The 23054-nt window shown below is 45.5% G+C and overlaps 1 protein-coding gene and 2 long non-coding RNA genes across 14 annotated transcripts in view, besides 5 other annotated features; 2 read left to right on the top strand and 1 right to left on the bottom strand.

Moving 5' to 3' along the window:
• HNF1B (HNF1 homeobox B) overlaps window positions 1-23054 on the bottom strand; it is a 58629-nt gene that overhangs the window by 15317 nt on the left and 20258 nt on the right. For 7 of the 10 annotated variants that reach the window (NM_001304286.2, XM_047436630.1, XM_011525164.1 and 4 more), the window contains exons 5-6: window positions 8756-8916; window positions 3170-3302 (exon numbers count right to left, since the gene is read on the bottom strand). In NM_001304286.2, coding sequence (NP_001291215.1) covers window positions 3170-3302; window positions 8756-8916 — 294 coding nt within the window. The other 3 variants (XM_047436631.1, XM_011525162.3, XM_011525163.3) reach the window with 2 other exon arrangements.
• Window positions 448-1647: an enhancer, noted in NCBI's record as "P300/CBP strongly-dependent group 1 enhancer chr17:36062200-36063399 (GRCh37/hg19 assembly coordinates)". NCBI's record gives its function as "activates an origin of replication core promoter dependent on BRD2, BRD4, P300/CBP, MED14 and CDK7 cofactors, with strong dependence on P300/CBP, by STARR-seq in HCT116 cells {active_cell/tissue: HCT116}" and the evidence as "EXISTENCE:reporter gene assay evidence [ECO:0000049][PMID:35650434]".
• On the top strand, window positions 1078-9228 carry LOC124903989 (uncharacterized). Of its 2 annotated transcripts, XR_007065733.1 has the most exons (3): window positions 1078-1149; window positions 2993-8345; window positions 8724-9228. It is a non-coding gene; the product is annotated as an uncharacterized LOC124903989 (long non-coding RNA). The 2 variants fall into 2 exon arrangements; XR_007065732.1 differs by having other exon boundaries at window positions 2993-9228.
• Window positions 6345-6845: an enhancer, noted in NCBI's record as "H3K27ac hESC enhancer chr17:36068100-36068600 (GRCh37/hg19 assembly coordinates)". NCBI's record gives its function as "activates a minimal SCP1, AML or CMV promoter by ChIP-STARR-seq in naive and primed H9 embryonic stem cells {active_cell/tissue: H9 hESC(naive and primed)}" and the evidence as "EXISTENCE:reporter gene assay evidence [ECO:0000049][PMID:30033119]".
• Window positions 9024-9545: an enhancer, noted in NCBI's record as "OCT4-NANOG-H3K27ac hESC enhancer chr17:36070779-36071300 (GRCh37/hg19 assembly coordinates)". NCBI's record gives its function as "activates a minimal SCP1, AML or CMV promoter by ChIP-STARR-seq in primed H9 embryonic stem cells {active_cell/tissue: H9 hESC(primed)}" and the evidence as "EXISTENCE:reporter gene assay evidence [ECO:0000049][PMID:30033119]".
• Window positions 9546-10067: an enhancer, noted in NCBI's record as "H3K27ac hESC enhancer chr17:36071301-36071822 (GRCh37/hg19 assembly coordinates)". NCBI's record gives its function as "activates a minimal SCP1, AML or CMV promoter by ChIP-STARR-seq in primed H9 embryonic stem cells {active_cell/tissue: H9 hESC(primed)}" and the evidence as "EXISTENCE:reporter gene assay evidence [ECO:0000049][PMID:30033119]".
• Window positions 10475-22362, top strand: LOC105371754 (uncharacterized). Of its 2 annotated transcripts, none has more exons than XR_001752876.2 (3): window positions 10475-11049; window positions 12772-12880; window positions 15653-16087. It is a non-coding gene; the product is annotated as an uncharacterized LOC105371754 (long non-coding RNA). The 2 variants fall into 2 exon arrangements; XR_001752875.2 differs by lacking the exon at window positions 10475-11049 and adding an exon at window positions 22118-22362 and having other exon boundaries at window positions 12146-12880; window positions 15653-15739.
• Window positions 21463-21963: an enhancer, noted in NCBI's record as "H3K4me1 hESC enhancer chr17:36083205-36083705 (GRCh37/hg19 assembly coordinates)". NCBI's record gives its function as "activates a minimal SCP1, AML or CMV promoter by ChIP-STARR-seq in naive H9 embryonic stem cells {active_cell/tissue: H9 hESC(naive)}" and the evidence as "EXISTENCE:reporter gene assay evidence [ECO:0000049][PMID:30033119]".

The following is a 23054-nucleotide window of genomic DNA, read 5'->3' on the forward strand; positions in this document are numbered from 1 at the left end:
AACAGAGAGGGGAGAAAACACTGGAACTCAGCCAGTCTGCGAGGCGGGCATATCTTATGTGGCAGCATAGGGCTTGTGGCACTAAAAGGACCAGGTTTTAGAAAGAGGAAGTAGTACATTAAAGGTTGACTCTTGGCATTTATAGTGGGTCTTCCCATCTTTCTGTTCTGGAGATGTCAGGGCCTCTGTAACTTGGAACTGTGTATCCTGAGGCCTCTTTAGAACCCGGGCCAGCACTCTGAGGATTGGATCCCCTGGTACCCATGCTCTATCTCCTCCCTGAGAGCGACACGGAGGAAGACAGCTAAGGTAGGATCGGAGTGGGGACAGGACGATCAGGAGAGAAGACACCTGGACCTGCTTCCTGGGGTCGATTGTGTTCCTGTGTTCTTGCTTTCTGGGAAGTTGGGGGAAGAATGGGATGAAGAAGGAATCCAGAAAAAGGTCTGTTTTAGGTGGATGTGGAAGGGACACCTAGAGAGGCTTTCCTGAAATGGAGACGGTTTCATAGGCAGGTTTGAGGGAAGTCATCAATGGAGATAACACGGAGTCCTCAACAATTGCCTACTCAGAGCTTTAGCTGATACTGTTATCAGAAACCTAAAAGGCGAGACCCCTGAGCAGAAAGGACAGGGGATGAATCCTGCTTCTGGCTCTCCTGGGTGGGGGCTGGGGGTGCCACCCTCTGATCACCCTCAGAACAGCACTGTCTCCAGTTCCCCAGGGGGCTCAGCGTCTCCTCAAGCCAGCATCTCACCAGATACCCTGATGACCGATGACCGTGTTTCCCTTTCCTACCTCCTGCTTATGGTCTCAGTCTCCCAGAAAGCTCCATGAATGTGCCGTTTTTGAGAAATCTTTGAGAGCACTGCTGCTGCTCTTTTTGAGAAACTGCTGCCCAAAAAAGCAAATGATCCTGTCTAGAGTGGATGACATTTGAAGGCATAGTTCTGAAACCTGCATGTGCTTCAGAAATCATCTGGGGGAGCTCTTTAACAAATATACATTCCTGGGCCCCACCCAAGACCTAATGAGTCAGAACCTTCAGAGGTGGGGCCCAGGAATCTTATTTTCAATGCAGTCTGTGATCCTGATGTGCCTCAATTCCAGGATTGAGAGCCTCTGATGTCATTCCAGCTCCCTCAGTGGGTAAGTCTTGACCTTTTCATCTGTTTCTGTTTCTGGGCACTGGTTCTTGCTTGGGAAGTATGCTATCCAGTCCAGGGAAGAGATGAGAAAGAGAATAGGATGAAGAGGTGAGAATGAGTAGAGAATAAGGAATTGGCCCTGCCAAATAATTTGTTACCACCTTCTCCACAGGCTTCCGCAATTCTGAGGCAGGGCCCATGGTACTCAACACATCAGTCAGTTAAATGAAGATGCCTGCAACCAGTTTCTCATCCTAACACTCCATAGTGTAGGACCTCTGTGTCTCAGCAGTCTTCTGGTGATTCTCACCATTTCTCATGCTCTGTCTACCCCAAGTGTACACAGATATGTACACACACAGCCATCCTTCTGAGGTCAGTGTGCACTCTGGTGCAGCCCATCTGAATAGGAGATTAAGGAGCATCGTGAAATGATAGAGAAATATGAGTAGAGGAAATTAGAAAGAACAAAATGGAAAGATGCAGACTAGCCCCAGGGAAAATTTTAATTCAGATAGTATATATATATATATAACTGTATGGCAGTGAAAGCTTAGAATGGAAAGAAAGAAGTTAAGTGGGACAGTTTGTTTATTATTTTGGTTGCAGAAATAAGTGGAATATCTTCCCCACGGGCCTTTTAATCAAATCTTCTAAATGGCAAACAAGCTGGTTTTAGGTATCTTATCTCATTCCAAACTCTGGTATTAGTATAATTACCATATTCCATATACCAGAGGGCCCAGTCAAAAGGCAATACATTTAAAATGATCATTTATATTGTGAGTTCTCTAAATGCTTCCCCATTCCCATTTTCCTTCTGCCAAAATCAATGCACTGTGTGTCAATTTCCAAGCAGCTAAGGATAGAGTGAGAGCCACACATATTCAATAAATTTGTGTGCCTCCAATGGGCTTAGCCCTGTTCTGACCTCAAAGGATGTGTAAGTCATTCTCTTCAGAAGTGAGAATCCAAGTTCCGACCCTAGCTAAAGCTGATTTAGGGAGAGAAGAGGGAAGAAAGAAAAAGGCAGAAACAAAACAAAGAGGTGGCCAACATGAGCCCTAGATACAAGGAAGGTAAGAGGACAATGGAGCAATACAAGGTTGAAAGAAAGATGACCAATGTGTTACCCTTAGATCTCTCCCAAGACATCCAGCAATACATCCAAGGGTCACAAGGATGGTTTTGAGAAACAACGACACCTGAGCTGTCATAGTGAAGCTGGAAATATGCTGAATACTCATCAACATTAAAACTCTCAAAGAGATATCCACAACCACAGTTCCCTTCAGCCTTCTCATGCCTCAAGATGGCCCATGTATGGGAGGGCACAGGCTTGCTGTTGAATATGAGCCTCCTGGAGCTGGAGGGACCTGATCCATCTCCGTGTCTTCAGGCGTGTGATGTGCCAAAGCAAGCTTTTTCTCCTTAAAGTTTTCAAAGCTCTCAGATACAATGGCAGTTTCCCTCTGGATCCTCCCTTGGTGTATTTTCACTGCTGGCCAAGGAGATTTCATATACCACACAAAACTCCCCATTTAGAAGGAAACCTGTCATTCTTACTTCATCATCACCAAACAGAAAGAACCTCCTGAAAAATCTACCACCTACTTAGTGATAGGAATGAACTCAAGACAAAGTGTAAGCTACGATGTTATACATATTCATGCTTTAGAGATTTATAAGCATGTTCATATTCACTGTCAGTTGATCACTTTAACAACCTATTTTATAGATGAGGACATTGAATCTCCTGAAGGTTCAATGATTTGACCCAGGATGCACAGCTGCTAAACTGTGACCAGGATCCAAATCCATTCCACAATTTTCTCTTGTTTTAGGCTAAACAATCCAAATATTGGATTTAAGGAGACAGATGAGAAACTAAAGAAGTTAAACCAAATCTACTAGTCGTGGGTGAGTTTGAAGGAGACCTACAGTTATTTTTCACCACATTAATTTGCTTCCCATTCTTCTTCTCCCTGCCCCCAAGTTTTCCAACCAAGAATAGAACTTACTTTGTGCAATTGCCATGACTCCAGAGAGGGGTGTCATGATGAGGTTTTGAGATTGCTGGGGATTATGGTGGGAGAGGCTGTGGATATTCGTCAAGGTGCTGACTGGGGGCAAACCTCCTCCTGAGACTGAGATCTGATGGAGAGAAAAAAACAAGAGAAACATGGGTGGACTTGGACCACAAAGAGCAGTTTCCAACACGATGTGACTTAGCGATTCCTTGGCATGACTAGTTCTCAAATTCATTCCTTCATTCACTCAATAACAATTATTGGCTGGGCATGGTGCTTCACCCCTGTAATCCCAGCACTTTGGGAAGCCAAGACAGGAGGACTGCCTGAGCTCAGGAGTTCAAGACCAGCCTGGGCAACATGGTGAAATCATCTCTACAAAAAAAGAAAAAAACACAATTATTAAGTGTCTACTGTGGGACAGACACTATTCTAGGTGCTGGGGATAGAGCAGTAAGTAAAACAGACAGTGATCCCTGCCCTCATGGTGCATCTATTGTTGACTGTCTGAGTTACTAGCCAGCTTCAGAAATTACTAAGGGTTGGGGGAGATTAGCCATTACAAGGTTTCTCTACTTTTTCCACATCTCCAGTACACATTACAAAATTTTTTTTCTTTTTTGGTCAAGGATCCTATATTGTAATCACCATTATATTTTAATGACAGATTAGTATGAGAAAGCTACTGATTTTGGTGTATTTACTTTGTACATGACCACTTCACTGAATCCTACTAGTGTCTTTTCCTCATTGATTTTTTTCCAAGTATGTAATTGTAATACAAGCATCTGATGGTAACAGGGTCTTTTCCTTGCTAGTACTGATATGTCTACATGTCCTATTATATTGCTTAGAACTTACAGTATTAAACAATAACAGCTGTAATAGATGTGCTTATTTTGCTTCTGATGTTATCAGAAATGTTTCCAATGTTTTCCCATTAACTCTAATTGTAATTATAAGGGCGCGATCAGTTTTAAACACACCTACACTTTTTCCATGATACATTAGTTTACTACTTATAGTTTCAAAATAATTTTTTTCTTTTTTTGAGGTGGAGTCCAGCTCTGTTGCCCAGGCTGGAGTGCAGTGGCATGATCTCTGCTCACTGCAACCTCCGCCTTGTGGGTTCAAGCAATTCTCCTGCCTCAGCCTCCCGAGTGGATGGAACCACAGGCACCTACCACCACGCCTGGCTGATTTTTGTATTTTTAGTAGAGACGGGATTTCACTATGTTGACCAGGCTGGTCTTGAACTCCTGACCTCAGGTTATGTGCCCACCTCAGCCTCCCAAAGTGCTGGGATTACAGGTGTGAGCCACTGTGCCCAGCCTCAAAATAATTTTTAAAGTTATTATGAAGAAAGGACTGGCCCCTCTTATTCTGAACCCAGGCGTGCTTGAGAGCATCAGGAACCCCGAGAGGTGCTTTAGGGTTAGGATGCACCAGATGTCTGAGTAACTCAACTTTCCTTCTTCCATCTTTCACTTCCCAGAGCTTTTCAGACGATAGCTCTCCCACCAGCACCCAGGTAAGATGCTATCTCCCACCCTGCCCTTCCGGTCAACTCCATAGTGTCCAAGGTTAATTTGAAAAAGAAAGAAAGCAAAAACCAAACAGGTTTGTTTGTGTTTTTAAAATAAGCATCAAGAAATGTTAGGGGGTCACATGACCAAGAAGGAATTCTGACCACATCAAACAAGAGAGAAGCAGCCTGTTTGCTGGACTTGTTTTTCAAAATACCAGTCATTAAAAAAAAAAAAAAAAAAATCCGTAGCCTGCCCTCAGACTGAATCTCTTGGGTAATGTAGTTCCTTTGGAGAAAGTCAACCAAGTGACAGTAATTTCTCTGACATTTCAGCATTTGGTTAATGGTATAAGAGAAGTGTGGAGGCCAATGATAAAAATAATTTAAATGTGTGTGACTTTAGGATTTGTAAAGTGCTTTCACTGATTGTCCTTAATAGATAATGACACAAGTAGGGCAGGCATTATTACTATCAGTCCCTGTATTACAGATTAAGAAACTGATCTTCAGAAGAGTTGAGACTATTTCTATGTCACTTGACTCATAAGTGAAAAAGCCAGAGTTAAAATCCAGTTTTGCTGGAGCTTAAATCTTATTCACTTACTAAGTTTGGGCAACCTTGATCAAGTTACTTCCCATTCTAAAATGCAACTATTATTTTTAATTTTTTTTTTTTTTTTGAGACAGGGTCTTACTCTATCGCCAAGGCTGGAGTGCAGTGGCATGATCACAGCTCACTGCAGCTTCGAACTCCTGGAATTAAGCGATCTTGTCACCTCAACCTCTGGAGTAGCTGGGACAACAGGCATGCACCACCGTGCCCAGCTAATTTTTTTATTTTTTGTAGGGACAGGGCCTTGCTGTGTTACCCAAGCTGGTCTTGAACTCCTGGGCTCAAGCAATTATCTTTCCTCACCTCCCAAAATAGTGGAATTACACGTGTGAGCCACTGTGCCCGGCTACAACCATTACTTTCTATTTGGCTCCTGGACTGATGGAAGCTAGGGCACTGCCAAGGGTATCAGTGGTGATCCTTACATGATAATTTGGAGAGCCTGAATTACATTAATGCTGTCATTTATGGTCTCTTCACTATGCTAGGTTCTTTATATACCTATAATCTATAAGGTTGGTATTATTATCCCTATTTCATAGAGAAGGATACTGAAATTTAGAGAAGTTAAGAAGTGTGCCCAAGTGGTAGAATTGGGGTTGAAAGCAGGCTATCTACCGCCACAGCCTGAGCTTTTCACCATTAGGACATACTGCTTGATACTGTGAAAGTATCCAGTATGTGCTTTGCTTTGTTCTCTCTCTTTTTTTTTTTTTTAAAGGTTCGACATGCACAGACTACAACCCTAAACCTGGCCAGTTTTTTGTCAATGCGTGACATTTGGGCATGGGGGCGGGTAGGGGCAGACAGTACAACAGAGAGTTCAAATGGATTGGCTTTATTTCCAAAACCAGTCCTTGGGGAAAGATTTCAAGGCACGTCCTACTGAAAGTCAGCATGCAGAGATTGTCATTCCTAGAACAGGGCTGACCCAAAGAACAACAGTGCTACAAGCAATCTTCACACCAACCCTATGACGTAGGCATCATTATCCCCCATTTTACAGATGAAGAAACTGAGGTTAAGCAATTTGTCCACACTACTGCTGGTGAATGACCGAGCCAAGACTTGCACATACTGGTTCCCTTCCCTGCATTCCTTTTTAACCATACTCCACTCTTGCCTTGGGGGACCAAGATCCGTGATGGACATGTTATTATATTAACAAGAAAACAGACTCTTGAATTTGGACCTCTGATGATAGTGACACAGCACATGCACTAGGGTGTTGGAGACAAGAGAAAAGCCAGGCCCTGCAAACAAGCTTCCAGGTGTTTGCTAACGTTGAGGTGTGCAGTCTTGGTCAATCATCAATCCAGTAACACACTGCCCAGTTAAAGCACTGCTGAGCAGAACAGGAAGCAAAAAGCGTGTCCACAGGCTGCATTTAGAGCGGCCCTGGCCTGGGTGAGGCAGCTTGCCTCTTAGAAGGAGGAGAGGCAGAGCTCAGTAGGAAACCCCAAGGACCTTCAAGCAGTAAGAGCTGAGACCTGGAAGGTTCTTCCACACTGAGAAGTCAAGACCTCTTCCGTAAGGCACCCTTCTCCATGGAAGCCTGGGTAATCCTTAACCCTAACTTGTTTGGGACACTCTTGAGAAGTCAGAAAGACTTGTCTGTGCCTCTCACAGGTAACTGACACAAGTGGTTCTTCACATGGAGAAGAATCTTTCTTAAGGGATAGGTGGGAGTAGGAGAAGAGGGCTGCAAAATGCCTCCCCCAGGAATGCCCTTTCATTTTTGTTTGCAGAGACCACGACCAGGGCAAGCAGCTCAGGTCCTCTGAAACCAGAATTGGCCGGGTCAGTGCTCCCCTCAGAAACCACACTTGTTTTTCCTCCAGGGAGCCAGGGACTCGATCACCTGTGACTCACCGTTTCTGTGTTGCCTACACAGCACACACGTCAAGATCTAAAATGGCCTCTGCACCCTGTTGCCCTCACCCATCCTGGCCCCCACTCTGGGAATGTGTGCAGCTCCACCTTCAGCATGAAAGTCGGGAATCTGCGGCTCCTCCCTCCCCTGAAAAACAGAGCATGACCCAAAGAATAGAGCTTTCCATTCTCTACCCTTGCCAGTGTCGTAATGCTCCTGTTCTCCCATAAGCCACTCTCTCCTGCACTTGTGTTGCTACAGGATCAGAACCTAATCCTAATTAGAACCTAGTTTTATTTATTTTATTGTTATTATTAATTATTATTTTTTGAGACACCCGAGTCTCACTCTGTTGCCCAGGCTGGAGTGCAGTGGTGTGAGCTCACTGCAACCTCTGCCTCCCAGGCTCAAGTGAGCTCCCCACCTCAGCCTCCCGAGTAGCTGGGATTACAGGTGCATGCCACCATTCCTGGCTAATTTTTGTATTTTTTTTTTAATAGAGATGGTGTTTCGCCCTGTTGTCCAGGCTGGTCTCAAACTTTCTGGCCTCAAGTGATCCACCTGCCTCAGTCTCCCCAAGTGCTGGAATTACAGGTATGAGCCACTGCACCTGGCCTAGAATCTAGTTTGATGTAGAAAATTCAAATTCAAATTGTGCATTCTTCACCAAGTGTGCTAAACTTGCATCTGGGTGTGGGGCTGTGGTTACGGATATAGAAAACTTCATTTAATGAGAATGATATTGACATTTACACGACAACAACAACAATACTGCAATTTATTGACTATTTTCTATGGCAAACACTGCAGAGTATTTCTCAAATGTTATCACGCTCATGCCCCCACCAAGTCTATTGTTACCGCCCCCATTTTATAGATGAGGAAGAGATCATAAGTAGTCGAGTAACCTGCTCAGGCTACACAGCTATTAAGAGCTGGAGCTGGGATTTGAACCTGGGCAATTGTAACTTCAAAGTTGGTGTTTCTCCCTCCCTAAGCATCGCCCCACCCCATCTACCATTTGTGCTGTGATCTTCGCTGTCATGGTGTCCCATGTCTTTCACTGTTCCAGTTCAAGAAGCTTCTCCCCATCGCCTCCTATCCACTACATCCTGACTTGCTAATGACTCTTCTTGTCAGTACCAAGGGGATGGTAAGGAGGAAGAGGGGGCTTGTGTCAAAGTGAGGTGCTCTCTAAGTTAAAAAATTGGCTTTGGAGGCCTTGGGGGGAGGGATGAATGAACATTTTATCAACACAAATGTCATTGGCAAGCCCCAAAACAAACAGTGTCCCACCGGGCTTGCTCCTTTATGAGGCATTCAATCAATAAAAAGAGAGCAGAACTCTGTCAGATTTATTGGCTGGGTTCAAACCGAACACCTCTTCTACCCGCCAAAGGCTGGGTCACCAGCACTACCTCTCCTTTCCGACTCTGGACAGCCCTCATTTTCCCCTATGGGGCTACAATGGTTCATTGTTTGAGGCAGGCCTTGTGAGAAGTTGTGTTTGTTTTGCCTCTTATCTTATCAGCTCCAGAGCGACAATGGCCCAGGTGTACTCACCATTTTACCATCAGGTGAGAGGAGATTGTGGCCTGGGTCCAGGCTGGCTGGGGAGACTTGCTGTAAAACCGACTGGCTGGTCACCATGGCGCTGTTGCCATGGTGACTGATTGTTGAGGAGGAAGTGATCTCATTGTTTCCCTGCTGGCTGTAGCGCACTCCTGCAAAACAACACAAACCCAGTAGGGAACATTAGTGCCACCAGGGTCCTGGAACAATGACTCGGCACCTCTTGTTTTCAAGGGTGGGTAATAAGAAAATAAAGTTGCTTTCTCCTCCCCTGTCCACCCACAAGAAATATCGGCTGCTTTTCTCCAGGGTAAATATGGCATGTTCTCTATTTAATTCTAGAATGTAAGCGCCACGAGGGCAGGAAATTTTTATCTCGTTTGTTTTGTTCACTGATGTATCCCCAGTGCCTTGGCACTGAATAGCCACTCGGTAAACTTCTGATGAATAAATGAATGACTGGATGGATTCTGTTTGTTATTGCTTCCGCACAGTTCTTTGAGGATTTGGGGGTTGAGACTAGCCTTCTGTTACTGGCTGGAGTATTTTTTATTCTTTAAAATGCCTTTTAGAAATGTTTCCCTGGCATCCCTCGTGGTGCTGCAAAGTATAAGTAGACCCATGTGACGAAGAAGAAGCCCTTGTCCAGTGACCCTTGAAAGAGCCGTAGCTTAGGCATCAGTCTCTGTGTACCACCTTTGTGGCCAGGCCCAAGAGGTCAGGGGCACGGACACAGGCAGAGCAGGACAGGGATGAAGCTGCGTCTAGGAGCTAGGCTGTAGAACTCACATTCCTTTGCTGGGGGTCCCATTTGGCTGCCTTCCAGGGCACAGGGAAAGGTGTGTCTGCTGGGAGGTGGGGCAGGCAGCACCACACACAGGCAGATGTGGATGTTTAGTAAACCACTGGAGTTTGCTCTGCAGGGGAAGGGTAGAACCAAACATGTTTACAACCTCGCTGCTCTGACCCTCCCTCTTGCTCGGGAACCAAAATGGAGGTCTGCTCTCAGGAAAGAAAAGTTCTGGACAGAGATCAGGCAACTGAAGGAAGCTAAAAGAACGCCTGGGTCCAGTTTGCAGATGGAAATCCTGCTTGATGTGCCCATGAAACAGTCAAGGACAAGGTTGGGGGTACATGGGGCATCTCACCCCTAAGCTCAGTGCTTAGAAAGACAGTGTTCTTGTTTTTTGCTTTGGATTTGACAAAAAGGTTTGGAGGACCCTGTCCTGCAGAGACCAAATGCTCTAGGCATGGAATTATCTGGATAGGTGGACCAACTCTTTAGCTGCACGTCTTCCTTTGCCCAGTTTCCCAAGATGAACCATCCCTGTACACTGATTCTGTTGTTGCTCTTTCATCCACCCACCCCCTGCCCTAGCTAGAGCCCCACCTTCCAGAGGAGACCACAAAGTTCCCCCAGGGGCCAGGCACTGCCATAATCAGTGTCATAATCTGCCTCTAATTCACCAAGATGAAGCTTACCAAGATGAGACTAGATGAGCCCCAAGCCAGTTTTCCTTGGATCTTCCTAAGGACTTTACCCAAGGCCGATATGACCTAGAGCTTAAGAGGGCTGGGGAAAAGAACAAAACAAATGCTAAAGCTGGGTTCTAACCTTCAAGAGCAACTTGTCTGAGTATGTAGTGGCTTGACGCTTGCTCTATGAGCTTTTCTATTGGCCATTTTCCCCATTCTTTGAATCAAGGAGCTGCTAGTGGGGGTGGTGGTGACAGTGGGATGGCGCTGGCATTGGTGTATTGGTTTAAGGCACTACATTTTTTGGGAAGGACAGAAATCATGAAGTTAAAAGGAGGAACAGCGTTCAGCTCCCCAAGTCAACAGCCGGTGCCCAGGCCCCTGTCCTCCTGTGCACCTATCTGCAGCCCCCACGTCTCCTGTTTGCCATCGATGCCATCCCATTGGATTAAATGAGGCCTTCTTTCTTCACGTCTGCCACCCAGTTCCCAGTAGGATGCTTCCAACAGTTCAAAGTGTTGTTACATGAAAGAAGAAAGAGATTTGAACCTTATGAGCTCTGAAGGCAGAGCTAGGTTCAATGGAAAACAGGGAGGCAGATTTCAAATAAATAACAGGAAGAATTTTCTATCAAGGAGGGGCAGTGGGAAGACTATGGACTCTGCAGCGAAACCAACTCAGGTTCAAATTCTGATGCTGCTCTTAATAGATCTGTGATCATGGGAAAATTACTTTCCCTCTCTGTGCCTTTGTTTCCTCTAGAAAAATGGAGAGAATGCCTCCTCAACAGGACTCTTTTTGGATTAGAGGTAACATCTATACAGTTTCTTGCAAAATGCCATATAAATGGCAACTATGGGTGGGGATGCTGTGGGGAGGAAGCTGGTACAGGAATGGACCCCAAGATATTTGCCCTAAGATCCTAGAATTCTAGATGGCTTAGGACAGATTCTAAACACTGAATGGAATTATCTTTCCGTAGAGAACAGTTTCCAAAGAATCCTACCCTGGCAGAACCACTGATGCTTTGCCCTGGAAGCAACCTGGGAGAGAGGTCTAGCCGCTGCCCTCTTGCTCTGTTCTTTTGGAGGAACTGGACTTCACCCTGTTTTTCTCCTGCTTTCTCTGACTCCCTAACCAGCTATTTACCTCCCCGAGAGGCTCTGCTCCTGAGAGAGTGTTGATAACGCTGGGAGTCAGTTGTGTTTTCACCTCCCAGCCTGTCCCCATCATCGATTCAGTCTCAAGTCAAACAGTCTCTGGATTTAGCCTATTTAATTTGGCTGATGGAAAAGGGCCAGCCCTCTGATGATCAAATATGGGTCACAAGGAGGCTTCTCCCCTACCAAAGGCTACGCAATTATTTATTTAAAAATAATTAACCAAGGATTTCCGCAGGAAACAAAAGGCTTCTTTACAAGGGAGCATGTCAGGAGAGACTCAAGAGCCATTTGTTAGAATCCAGGCAGCATATTCCAAGGCTGCTGTGGTTTTTATACTTTGTTTTCTCCCCAACAAAACTTTATTATATAAGAAATATAACGGTGGAGCTGCTCTGTCAAAAGACAGATGAGCCTAGACCTTTGAACGTTCCTTTAAAAGCCCCTGGTTAAGTGATAGAGGCTCGGCTGGAAACTGGGGGATCCCTGTTTTAATCTCAGCTCTGCTATCAATTTCTTGGGTGAGCACCAGCTTCCTCATCTATAAGCCAGAGGACGGCCCACTGTGGGGAGGGGGCCATTGTCACAGCAGTGTGATGGGAGCCAGGCACAAGGCTGCTCATCAGCCCCAGATCCACCTGCAGGTGTTCCCACGATGCTCCTCTCACCAAGCATGTGGCAATCACTGGCCCCTGAGAGGGTGGCTGTAATCAGCCAGCCATCTTATGAGGGGGCGGGGTGGGGGCGCATCACAAGGTGTACACCAAAAATAGGTGCTCTTGTTAGAGGAAGGAGAGGCCAGTCCTCCTATATTTCAAAAACTCAGAAGAGCACTTGAAGTGAGAACAAAAATAAGTGCAAAGTGTGTAGGCTCTGGAGCCAGGTGACCTGGGTTTAAATCTTGGCTCTACCCTGTAAGACCTGTGTGATCTTGGGAAGTTACTTAACCTCCCTGAGCTTCAGTTCCTTACTGTTAACAATATCCATCTGTCAGGTCATTGGGAAGAGAACGGAATGAGTTAATGGATGTCCAAATACCCAGATCATGCTGGGCACATAACAGTTGCTGAAAACACGTCAATTCCTCCTACTTTGGCACTGTCCTTGTTTAAAAGACATTTTTAGGAAGGCTGAGGTCGTGCCACTTTATTGAGCACCTACCATGTGCCAGGCACTGTGTTAGGAAGCATTAAGAAATGGAATAGCATCTTCCCTTCTTCCTTCACCAATGCAAGTTCTTAAAGTGAACATATGACAAGGGCTCTGGTTTAATATTGATTAACCAAAGATGCCAGGTTAATAGCCACAGAGGACCCATAGGAGAAATGACAGTGGCAGATGGTAGCCATTCACCTTCTACTTACTTCCTAGCTCAAGCCACTCACTGGCCCCATCCCCATTGTTGGCTCTATGAACCACAGCAATTGTGTCCAGCAGCAAAAGCCATCCAAGGTGGAGTTGAGACATCCCTGAGGCCCTGGTGAGTAGATCATCTACTTTCCTCTATTCCTAGGCATCAGCATCATGGGTGTTGGGCTATTCCTGGATACAGACGCAGATCATTCGGTTTCTATCCAATATGACTGGTCAGAAGTGCCAAAGGCATGGCACAGGTGCATGGTTCCAAGAAGCCAGCATCCTTGCTCTGCCTTCCTGTGCCAGCACCGTCTCTAGGGTCCTTTCACACTGCTGCAGCCTGGGATATCTTTCTAAAACAAAGTCACACCATGCCTCTGCTCTGCTTGGAAACATCTGATGGCTCCTCACTGCTTTCCAGAAAAGCCCCAACACCTGAGACTGGCAGAACTGGGCCTTTGTGATTCATCTGTTTTATTTGCATTATCTCTCACCACAATCTTAATGCACTTCTCAAATGGCCTGACCATCTCCTGCCTCTGCACCTTTGCTGTTTCCTCTGCCTGGAAAGCATCTCGTGTCACATGTCGCCCCCCTGTGAAGCTCTTCTTGATTCATCCTGGGAGATGGCTGCTCCTTCCTTTGTATTTTACATGCACTAGACAGAGACTTACGGCAGGAGTCAGTCACCCTGCATGCACGCTGATGATATGTTTACTTTTCTCTGCCTCTTAAAGAAAGAGATGAGTCTTTACTTGTTGCATCCTTATAGCCTAGCAGACTGCCTGGTACTGTGCATATTTATTGACTGAAGGAATGAAACCCCAGCAGCTTTGAGCACCCATGCCCCAGACAAGGAGCATCACGTCTAGCAGAAGTAGAAAATACAGTCAGTTGTGTATTTATTGTAGTGAAAGTGTAAATCTGTTCCAATTATATAGACATATTGGGGATAATTTGAGTGTAATGTCAATTTCACATTTGGAAAACACTTAGTGAATTCAGAAGCCTGCATCCAGCTGAATGGAACCACATAGGAGAATACTAACAATGCTCCTGTGTGTACATATGCGCACCTCAAACATCCACCAGCCGCCTCGGTCCACTGTGTGCACTGGTAAGACACATCCATGCAATATGGAGTCACATCTTTTCCTTCCCATGTCAGATAACCCTTTCTCCACTGCTTCACAGTAACTCACAACCCGCAGCACTTCTGATGCCCACTTCCCTAGGCAAACTTGCCATATTTACTATTGTATAGCATTGATATATTTCTTAACTATTTAACGGGTATAAAACTCTGGTAATCTTTTTATTGGATTCTTATCTTTTAAAAATGTGTTGGCCGGGCACGGTGGCTCATGCCTGTAATCCCAGCACTTTGGGAGGCCGAGGCAGGTGGATCACTTGAGGTCAGGAGTTCGAGACTAGCCTGGCCAACATGGTGAAACCCTGTCTCTACTAAACATACAAAAATTAGCTGGGTATGGTGGTACGCGCATTAGCTAGGCATAGTGGTGTAATCCCCACTACTCAGGAAGCTAAGGCAGGAGAATTGCTTGAACCTGGGAGGCAGAGGTTGCAGTGAGCTGAGATCGTGCCACTGCACTCCAGCCTGGGTGACCAGAACAAGACTCCATCTCAAAACAAACAAAATGTGTCGCTGAGGAAGTTTTCAAGTGTTGTGCTTTTTAAAAAAGTTTATTTCAGAGACAGAGTCTCATTCTGTCACCTAGTCTGGAGTACAGTGGCGTAATCTCGGCTCACGGCAACCTTCGCCTCCCGGGCTCAAGTGATTCTCCTGCCTCAGCCTCCTGAGTAGCTGGAACTACAGGCGCCCACCACCACGCTCAGCTAAATTTTTGTATTTTTGGTAGAGACAGAGTTTCACCGTGTTGGCCAGGCTGGTCTCAAACTCCTGACCTCAAGTGATCCGCCCGCCTCAGCCTCCCAAAGTGCTGGGATTGAAGGCATGAGCCACTGCGCCCGGCCTCAAGTGTTGTGTTTTTAATCCTGTTTTTCCCGTAAGCCCTGTGGTTCTTATCACATGGCTTAGCAAACTCTGGTGATTTTTAGGCTGCATATGTCAGGTTATATAGACCCTACTGCGCCTGTGTGTTCAAAGACAAACATGACTGCCTTGCAGGAGGACCCCAGAGAGGAGCTGCTCAGGGTGCCATTCACCAGAGACTTTGCAGAAACCTGTGCTTCAGGGCCTTAGAGCTACAGCTCATAGAGCCCCTGGCGATTTAATTCAGCTCTAAGAGCTTCAAAAAATCATGGAATTCCATGATTCCAGAGATCAACTGGGCACCAGCCTCTAGACACTTTAACAATCTCTCTCTCTCTCTCTCTCTCTCTCTCTCTCTCTCTCTCTCTCTGCCATAACTCTCTGATGATTCTGGGTCAGTTAACTTTTGAGCCTTGGCATTTTTGTCTGTGAAAGGGGCACACAGATATTCCTTCTTCACAAGCCAGAATAATGAATGAATAAAATAATGTCAGAGATGCACTGGTTCTGCTGGGTAAACAGAAGAGCAATGTCAACAAAGAAAACAGGACCAGAATTGTTCTTTTAGTAAGAAGAAATGAGGAAAGTGGGGATTCCTGGGCAATGTGGGGCTCAGCTTGCCCACGATGTGGCTTTTGGCACTGAAACCTGGGGGTTCCTTTCACTGAAGTCTATGAGCTGCACCCAGAATCTGGTGGGATGCCTTTCACCCTTGACATTTCAGAGCCAACCTCCCATCCCTGATAATGCAGGAATGTTCCTCTGGCTGGTGGACCTCTGCCAGCGTAAGTGAGCGTCCCAGCCACCAACAGAGTAAACATTACTCAACTGGCTGGGGCTCTGTCACACACATTCTTCCCCTGTGTTTCTAACCTCATGCAGAGTGCAGCCCAGCCCTGTTGGGTCTAGAAACTGGGAATTTAAACTCAGGCAGGAGAGAGCATGCGAAGGAGAAAGCTCTTCCAAAAGGTAATAACTATGTTCATTGTTCATAAATTATGAGTAGACACAGCCATCTTTTCTATGAAGCCAAATCATTATGTTGGGGAGATGACAGGGAGAGACTGGGCCAGGCTTGATGGACCCAGTACTGTGTCCTGATAACTCTACCTTCTCCCTAAACACTTTACTTTTCTTAAGGACAGAGGCAGAGAGACAAATGATTCTGTCTGGTGAACTTCTGAGAGGCCCATTTGGAAGAAAAGAATGTGAACAATTCCCTGGCTTGAAATTGAGAACTCCAGAAATGAAAGCTTTCGAATGAGTTAGCATTGCTGCCTCAGTTTCCTTGTTTGTAGCACTGGACTTTTGCTAGTTCTTATTAATATTTCCTCCTCTGAGAGGATACAGATTCATGTTTGCAAAGAGTTTAGAAGATTAAAAATCTGCAAATGTGGAAGAAAAAGCTGATGCAAGATGAAAGCAATTTAAATGCTGGGCTGGTTTCAATTCCGGATCCCTTTCTACCTAACATGGCTTAGTTAGGAGCTCAATTCATAAGAGGAGAAATACAGACAGGCCTGCAGGGACAGTAAACATTCTTGACTCAAGGAGTAAAAGTTGAGTGATACTTAAGGGAAGCCCACAAACTGGTTTTCTTATTTAAAAAAAAAATCAAAGCAAATGTAACCAAGAAAAGAAAAAAAAATCTTTCATCAAAAGCACCTTGGCTGAGAACAGAAGCTAACATGCATGGTGCACTTGAAAAAATTGCACATGTGGGGAGGTAGAAGACCAACAGAAACTCTGTGTGTCCTCCCCCACAAGGTCTACCTGGGCCACCACGCCTCATCCTTACTAGAGTGGCAGTTTCTGCAGGCAAACATCAGGCAGTTTGCAATGAATACTTCAGCCTGAAGATTGCTGCTGTAGGTAAAAGGAACCAGCCTGGCACTTGATAACTTGGGCAGTCCTCACATCTGAGAGTATGTTACACCCATCTGCTTCTCAATGTGTCACAAGCACCCATTTGACAGAGTGGAAAACTGAGGTTCAGAGAGGACAAGGTTGTTTGCACCGCTCCTTGCTAGGGGGTCTCCCAGCAAGTCCGTGGTATTCCAAAGCTGACCCTTCTCCCTCTTCCTCCTAAGCCCCAAATGGGCTCCAGATATGTAGAGCCTCCCCATCACGACCCACTAATAGCTTGAAATGATCTTGCAGGTTTGTTTACTTGTTCCTTGGCTGCATCCCTCACTGTAATGTAAGCCCCATGAGGGCAGGACCTTGTCTGTATTCTCCATTTTCTTCTTGGCAGAGTCATGCTAAGCATTCAGTAAACATTTATTGAAGGAGTAAATGATGAATGAATAACCTATGCTTAAACTCTGACTGATGACTCCACATCACTTTCACCTTTAGACTGTTGAGTTGAGTGGTGGTGAAGTGACTGGAGTATGTCCATTTATCCTCTAAATCTCCCAGTTTTTCTTTTCTTTTTTGAGGCAAGCTCTAGCTCTGTCACCCAGGCTGGACTGTGGTGGTGCAATCACAGCTCACTGCAGCCTTGAACTCCTGGGCTCAAGGAATCCTCCCACCTCAGCCCCCAAAAATAGTTGAGACTACAGGCACATGCCACCATGCCTGGCTAATTTATTAATATTATTATTATTATTATTGTTATTATTATTTTGAAGAGATGGGGGGGTCTATGTTGCCCAGGGTAGTCTCAAACTCCTGGGCTCAAGTAGTCCTTCTGCTTTGGCCTCCCCTCCCTGTTTTTCCATGGGCAAGGAGAGGCAAGCATTCTTTTTAAGGAGGAAGAAAGAGGAGTAAGAGAAGAGGAGAGAGAGATTAAAATACAATCAAAATTGAAGAAACAGTATTGATAGACTTGGGCAGTTTCACATTTGAAGAACCGAGTTTGGGGGCTACTGGGTTGATTTGGGGATAAGGAGAAGAGTCAATTAATGGGAATTTACTGTGGCAACATGAATAACTTTTAAATGCCCCTTTCTCCAAAGAAACTAGAGTAAAACTAAGAAGGGTTAATGGTGGACATCGTTAGGCCTAAAGGCTGTGGGGACACAGAGTGCCCTTCTGCAGTCTGGCTCCCAGGGTCTGGTATTTTCTGAGCAGCTGCCTTTGCAGGCAGAGATAATATGGCTGCAACAAAGGCCTCTAGGCCTAGTGGACAAGGAGAATGGTGATGCTCCCAGTGGGTCTGGGCAAAGGGAGAAAGGCTATAAAGCCATCAGCAGACTGAGCCACTGGGTGTCCACACAAAAGTAAGGTCCTATAAACAGACATCTGTATTGTGACTGAAGGGCTAATAAAATTGCCTTAGAAAAGAGAGGTTTTCCACCACAGCCTATTCATAACAAAGACCGTACTGGGAGATGATACCCAGGGAGAAGATCCTTTGAGGTCTGGCAAGTGTCAGAGCTGCCTTGTGATAGGGATTTGCCTGGCCAGATCCCAGCCTCTTCATCACTGTCACAGAGGGCATCTCCATCAGTATCATTATCACCATCATCATCACCATCATCATGACAGATAGCTGCCGATCACCGGCAGGCCCAAGGAGGCTCGTCCCAAGCAACACCAGGTGTTGGGCACTGAGATAGGAGCACCAGCCAAGTGCTCAGGGAGCACCACCAGAGACCTAATGGCTGCCCAGAGCAGGGCAGTTTTGTTTCTGTCTGTCCAGATAATTGATTTGCAGTAGTCCAGTCCCTTTTCTAGACCTCATTTTGCTCAAAGGAAACAAAAGAGGAGACGTTCTTGCTCTTTTCTTGCCCTAGGGATCCTGGTAAGAGATTTTAAAATGAATGAAAGTAGTAGAACATTAAAGTAACTAGTAGAACTAAATTAAATGAGTAGACTAGTTTACTAGTAGAACATTAGGGAGAAACTCATGATACGTTCTTTGAAAACTTTCTGGTAACATTAAATGTCGACATTAATTTGTGAACTGTATACTTAAGCAGTGTTAATAGGGTTGAAGCTGGGTGACACTGTTTCTAGAGAAGAGAAAATATGCCTTTATATATACATATATATATAATTATATAGCACATATATGCTATATAAAACAAAACTAATCCTAGGCTCAGTTTAATTCTTAAACTGAATACCAAATTTATAAAACAGGGGGTTTCTGCATATGCTTTGACAGGAAGCCTTCTATAATAGATATCTTTATTTCACAAATATATGGAGTGTCTACCATGTGCCAGGCACAGGGCTATGGGCTGGAGACACAATGATGAAGAAAGCTACCTCAGGCTCAGATGTTGGTACAGCCCACAATTCTGCCACTCAGAATACATACATACAGAGCAAGGTGTTCAGAGACTTCAGGGACCTTCTTCTTCACGGTGAGATTGAAGTTTACAGGTAGGGATGCAAACCCTCTAGTTCCCCTGGCTGTAGGGTTGTAGACAATGAAGAAGAACGGCCGCTCATTTCTGTCTCCATCCATAAAACACCTTGAGATAAATTAAGCACTTTTGTGCCCATCGTGCAAACTGATGTTACACAAATAGGAGATGTTGTTTAAGGGTTTTCCACTCTTGCTGAACAAGAACTCACATAGACTTCACTGCCAACCCAGTCCAATGGGTGCCAAGCAGGAAGAGGCACCCTGCAGTGGACAGGGCCAGAAGGCATGGGCATGCCAGCTGCTATTCAGAAGCCCTCAAAGTGTTAACCTCTAGCAGTTATAGGTGTCTCGTTTATACCCATTATAAATCTGTTTATTGTGACTGGCCCCACCCAATCTGCTGGTGTCGTAAAGCTCTAATGATCCCTAATAAAGGTGGAAGGCTTCTAACAGCACACAGTTCCTGAAACGGGGAAGGAGCGAGGGAGTGAGGGAGAGAAGGAGAGAGAGACAATGATGAGTTTCACAATAAAATACCACAATGGCAAGCCTCCCTCTGCACTCCAAGCTGCGGAGTCCTGGGCCCCAAGACTGGATGCCACACACAGTCTTCAAATAATAGCCTGTCAGAGTGGAAAGGCCCTCATCCCACACCCTCATTTGCCAGAATTCCCAGGAAGTTAAATGATTCACCCAAGGTCACCCTTGCTCATTGGTGGCTCTGATCTCCTGAATCCTAGTCCAAGGCCCCTCACCCCGGCTGCTTCTCTTTTCCCATTTCAGCAAGGGGCCATGAGGATTACCTTCAACCCCTTCAGAACTCTCCTGCTCCATCTGGCCTAGTAATGTCAACCCTGACTATGCATCCAAATCTCTCTCTCTTTTTTTTTTTTTTTTAGAGACAGGGTCTCACTCTGTCACCCGGGCTGTACTGCAGTGGCGCCAATGGGCACAAAGTGCTTAATTTATCTCAAGGTGTTTTATAGAAGGAGACAAAAATAAGCAGCCTGTGTTCCTTGTTGTCTACAACCCAACTGCCATAGCTCACTTCAGCCTCAAACTCCTGGGTTCAAGTGACCCTGCTACCTTAGCCTCACAAGTAGCTGGGACTCTACGTGAATCTCTTAGGGCTTTTGTCGAAAGTTCTTATGCCTGTGAACCCCTCATCTCTCAATTCTGACTCCAAAGGTGTGCGTGGGTGGAGGGAGCCATGTCTATTTTTAATGAGCTCCCTGGATGATTTTTATGTGGTCTGGAGAGAGATTTGAGAACCACAGATCTTGCCAATACTTAGTTCATTGTTTCTGATGTTTCAAATGACAAGCAGGGTTCATGGAAAGGGAAATCCTTCCCGATTGAAACTACAAGGTAAGACCCTTGTCAAGAACCCAGGGAGAACCCAAGCTCTTCCGTTCTCTCAACACCCTGAAGTTTCTGAGTCAATTCAATAATACTGTAATGGCAGCTAACCTTCCTTGCCAGGCACTGTGCTTGGCACTGGGTGTGTCTGATCATATTTAAGCCTCATTGCACCCCTAAGGGGATAGGTATTGGGACAGAGAAGCTAATAACTTAAGGTCACACTGCCGGATAGTGACAGAACCACAACCCAAGCCAAGCCTGATTTGGGTGCTATACTGGGCTACCCAGACACACGCATCTGAATCCGGTCCTGAGAAGGGACTGGCCATAACCAGCTCACCTTGGCTCAGGTAGGCTTCCCTTGGGAAAGTCTACATGCTAAAGACCATCTGCAAGGTGTTTCTCCAACTTAGGAAGAACATGCAGAGTACAAGTCCTGAGAAAACTGACTCTTGACTTCCCAAAAGCATTGGAAGCATCGAGTCCCCCCTTGCCAGTTGATTCCTCAGTGGCTGAACTCACGCAAGTGTGCTATTGCGGAGGCTGCTGAAGTTGGAGCATAGGGTAACAGGAAGGTACCTGAAGCAGACGCATGCTCACAGGTTGAGGGAAGTGGTTTCCAGAAAATCAGCCCTTAGGAGCTCTGAGGTTTCCCTTTGCTCACCGTGGGGCTGTGTGCACCTTCTCCTTCTTAAATGCTCCTTCGCCTGACGTTTGGGGGCCATTAAGCTTCCCAGATGCAGCCTCCACCAGGAACATCCCACACCCCTCTACCTGGCAGGTTCCCAGGGCTAATTACTAACAAGCAATACACATGAGAGGAGTACTCACACCTCCTTTAATTAAAAAAGAAAAATGGCCGGGCGCGGTGGCTCACGGCTGTAATCCCAGCACTTTGGGAGGCCGAGGCGGGCAGATCACGAGGTCAGGAGATGGAGACCATCCTGGCTAACACGGTGAAACCCCGTCTCTACTAAAAAAAAAAAAATACAAAAAATTAGCCGGGCGTGGTGGTGGACGCCTGTAGTCCCAGCTACTCGGGAGGCTGAGGCCGGAGAATGGCGTGAACCCGGGAGGCGGAGCTTGCAGTGAGCCGAGATCGCGCCACTGCACTCCAGCCTGGGAGATAGCGAGACTCTGTCTCAAAAAAAAAAATTAAAAGAAAAAGAAAAAAGAAAAATGCCCTGTTAGTTACAGGAAATTCATGGTCATCTCGACTTCATGAACATCATGAACCTGACCTCCTGCTACATGGTCATGACCCTCCCCTCTGCCCCCACCAATCCATGGTCTTCCCAGCTTCCCCTCACTGTTTCCTGAATTTGTACTAAATGCCTTACGGCACTCAATATGCCTTGTGGATGTCACAGAGAAGTCCTAGGAAGAGCAGGAGATTGCCTCATACCCAATGTGCTGCAACAAGCCAGCCTAAGTTTGCTGCAAACACCAAGATGAATATCTAGTTGGAGATACTCAAATTCTTTAAAAATCAAGGTTGAATGAAACCTCCAAGAAGGACAAGGAAAGAGGGAAAAAACTAAAAAAACAAAAAAACAAAGAAACAACCCCCAAGTCTCTGCAAGGAATGGTAACAGCTACTATTTATGAGAATCTGGTATGTCTGGAGTGTTTTACATATATATTATCTTATTTAATTCTTCCAGCATCTGCATGAGTGGATGTCTCCACACCTCAAGAGGCAAGCACAGAGATTCCAGAGACTTGCCCAAGGTCACACAGCAGTAAGTGCCAAAGTGAAGGTTGGAATTTGGGTCTGCCTCCATAGCCTGTAATTTTGTCACTGTGCTGGCTGGATTTAAAAGAGCATTTCCCCATATTAGATGTCAAGGCTGGTGATGGTGAGGCAAATTACACAGGTTGGGAGGCAAAGGGGAGTTAGTTGCTAATCCAACTCCAGTACTCAAAAGTGTGTCCCAGACCATCCTCTTCAACAGCACCTGGGAACTTGTTGAAAATGCAGAAACCCAGGCCTCACCCCAGGCCTATAGAATGAGAATCTGTATCCTAACACCCCCCACCCCAGGGAACTGGCATGCACTTTAACATTTGAGAAGCTAAATTTGAGAACCTTAGAACTGGTTCTCAAATTTAGCTACACATTGGTATCACTTAGAAAGTTTTAACTACTGATATGTAGTCCCACTCCCCAGCTGTTCTGACAGGTCCAGGGTGCAGCTTGGATACTGGGATTTTTAAATACTCCCTCGGGTGATTCTAAAGTGTGGCCACATTTGAGAACTATTGTCCTACAGCGGGGTCAGCAAACTGGTCTGTTGGCCAAAGCAGCCTGTTTTTGTATGACCCACAAGCTAAGAATGGGTTTTACATTTTTAAACAGTTGAGAAAAAATCAATTAAAGACTATAGGATGATATGTGAAAATTATATGAAATTTAAATTTCAGTCCCCATAAAATAAAGTTTGACTGGAAGACAGTGATGTTCATTCACTTCCATGTCTATGGTCTATGGCTGCTTTGGTGCTACAAAGGCACAGTTGAGTAATTACAACTGAATAGTTTAAAGTACTTAATAGTTACTATCTGGCTCTTTACAGAAAAAGTTTGTCAATCCCTGTTCTA

The sequence above is a fragment of the Homo sapiens genome, chromosome 17 (genome assembly GCF_000001405.40).
Source record: "Homo sapiens chromosome 17, GRCh38.p14 Primary Assembly".
Taxonomy (NCBI): domain Eukaryota; kingdom Metazoa; phylum Chordata; class Mammalia; order Primates; family Hominidae; genus Homo; species Homo sapiens.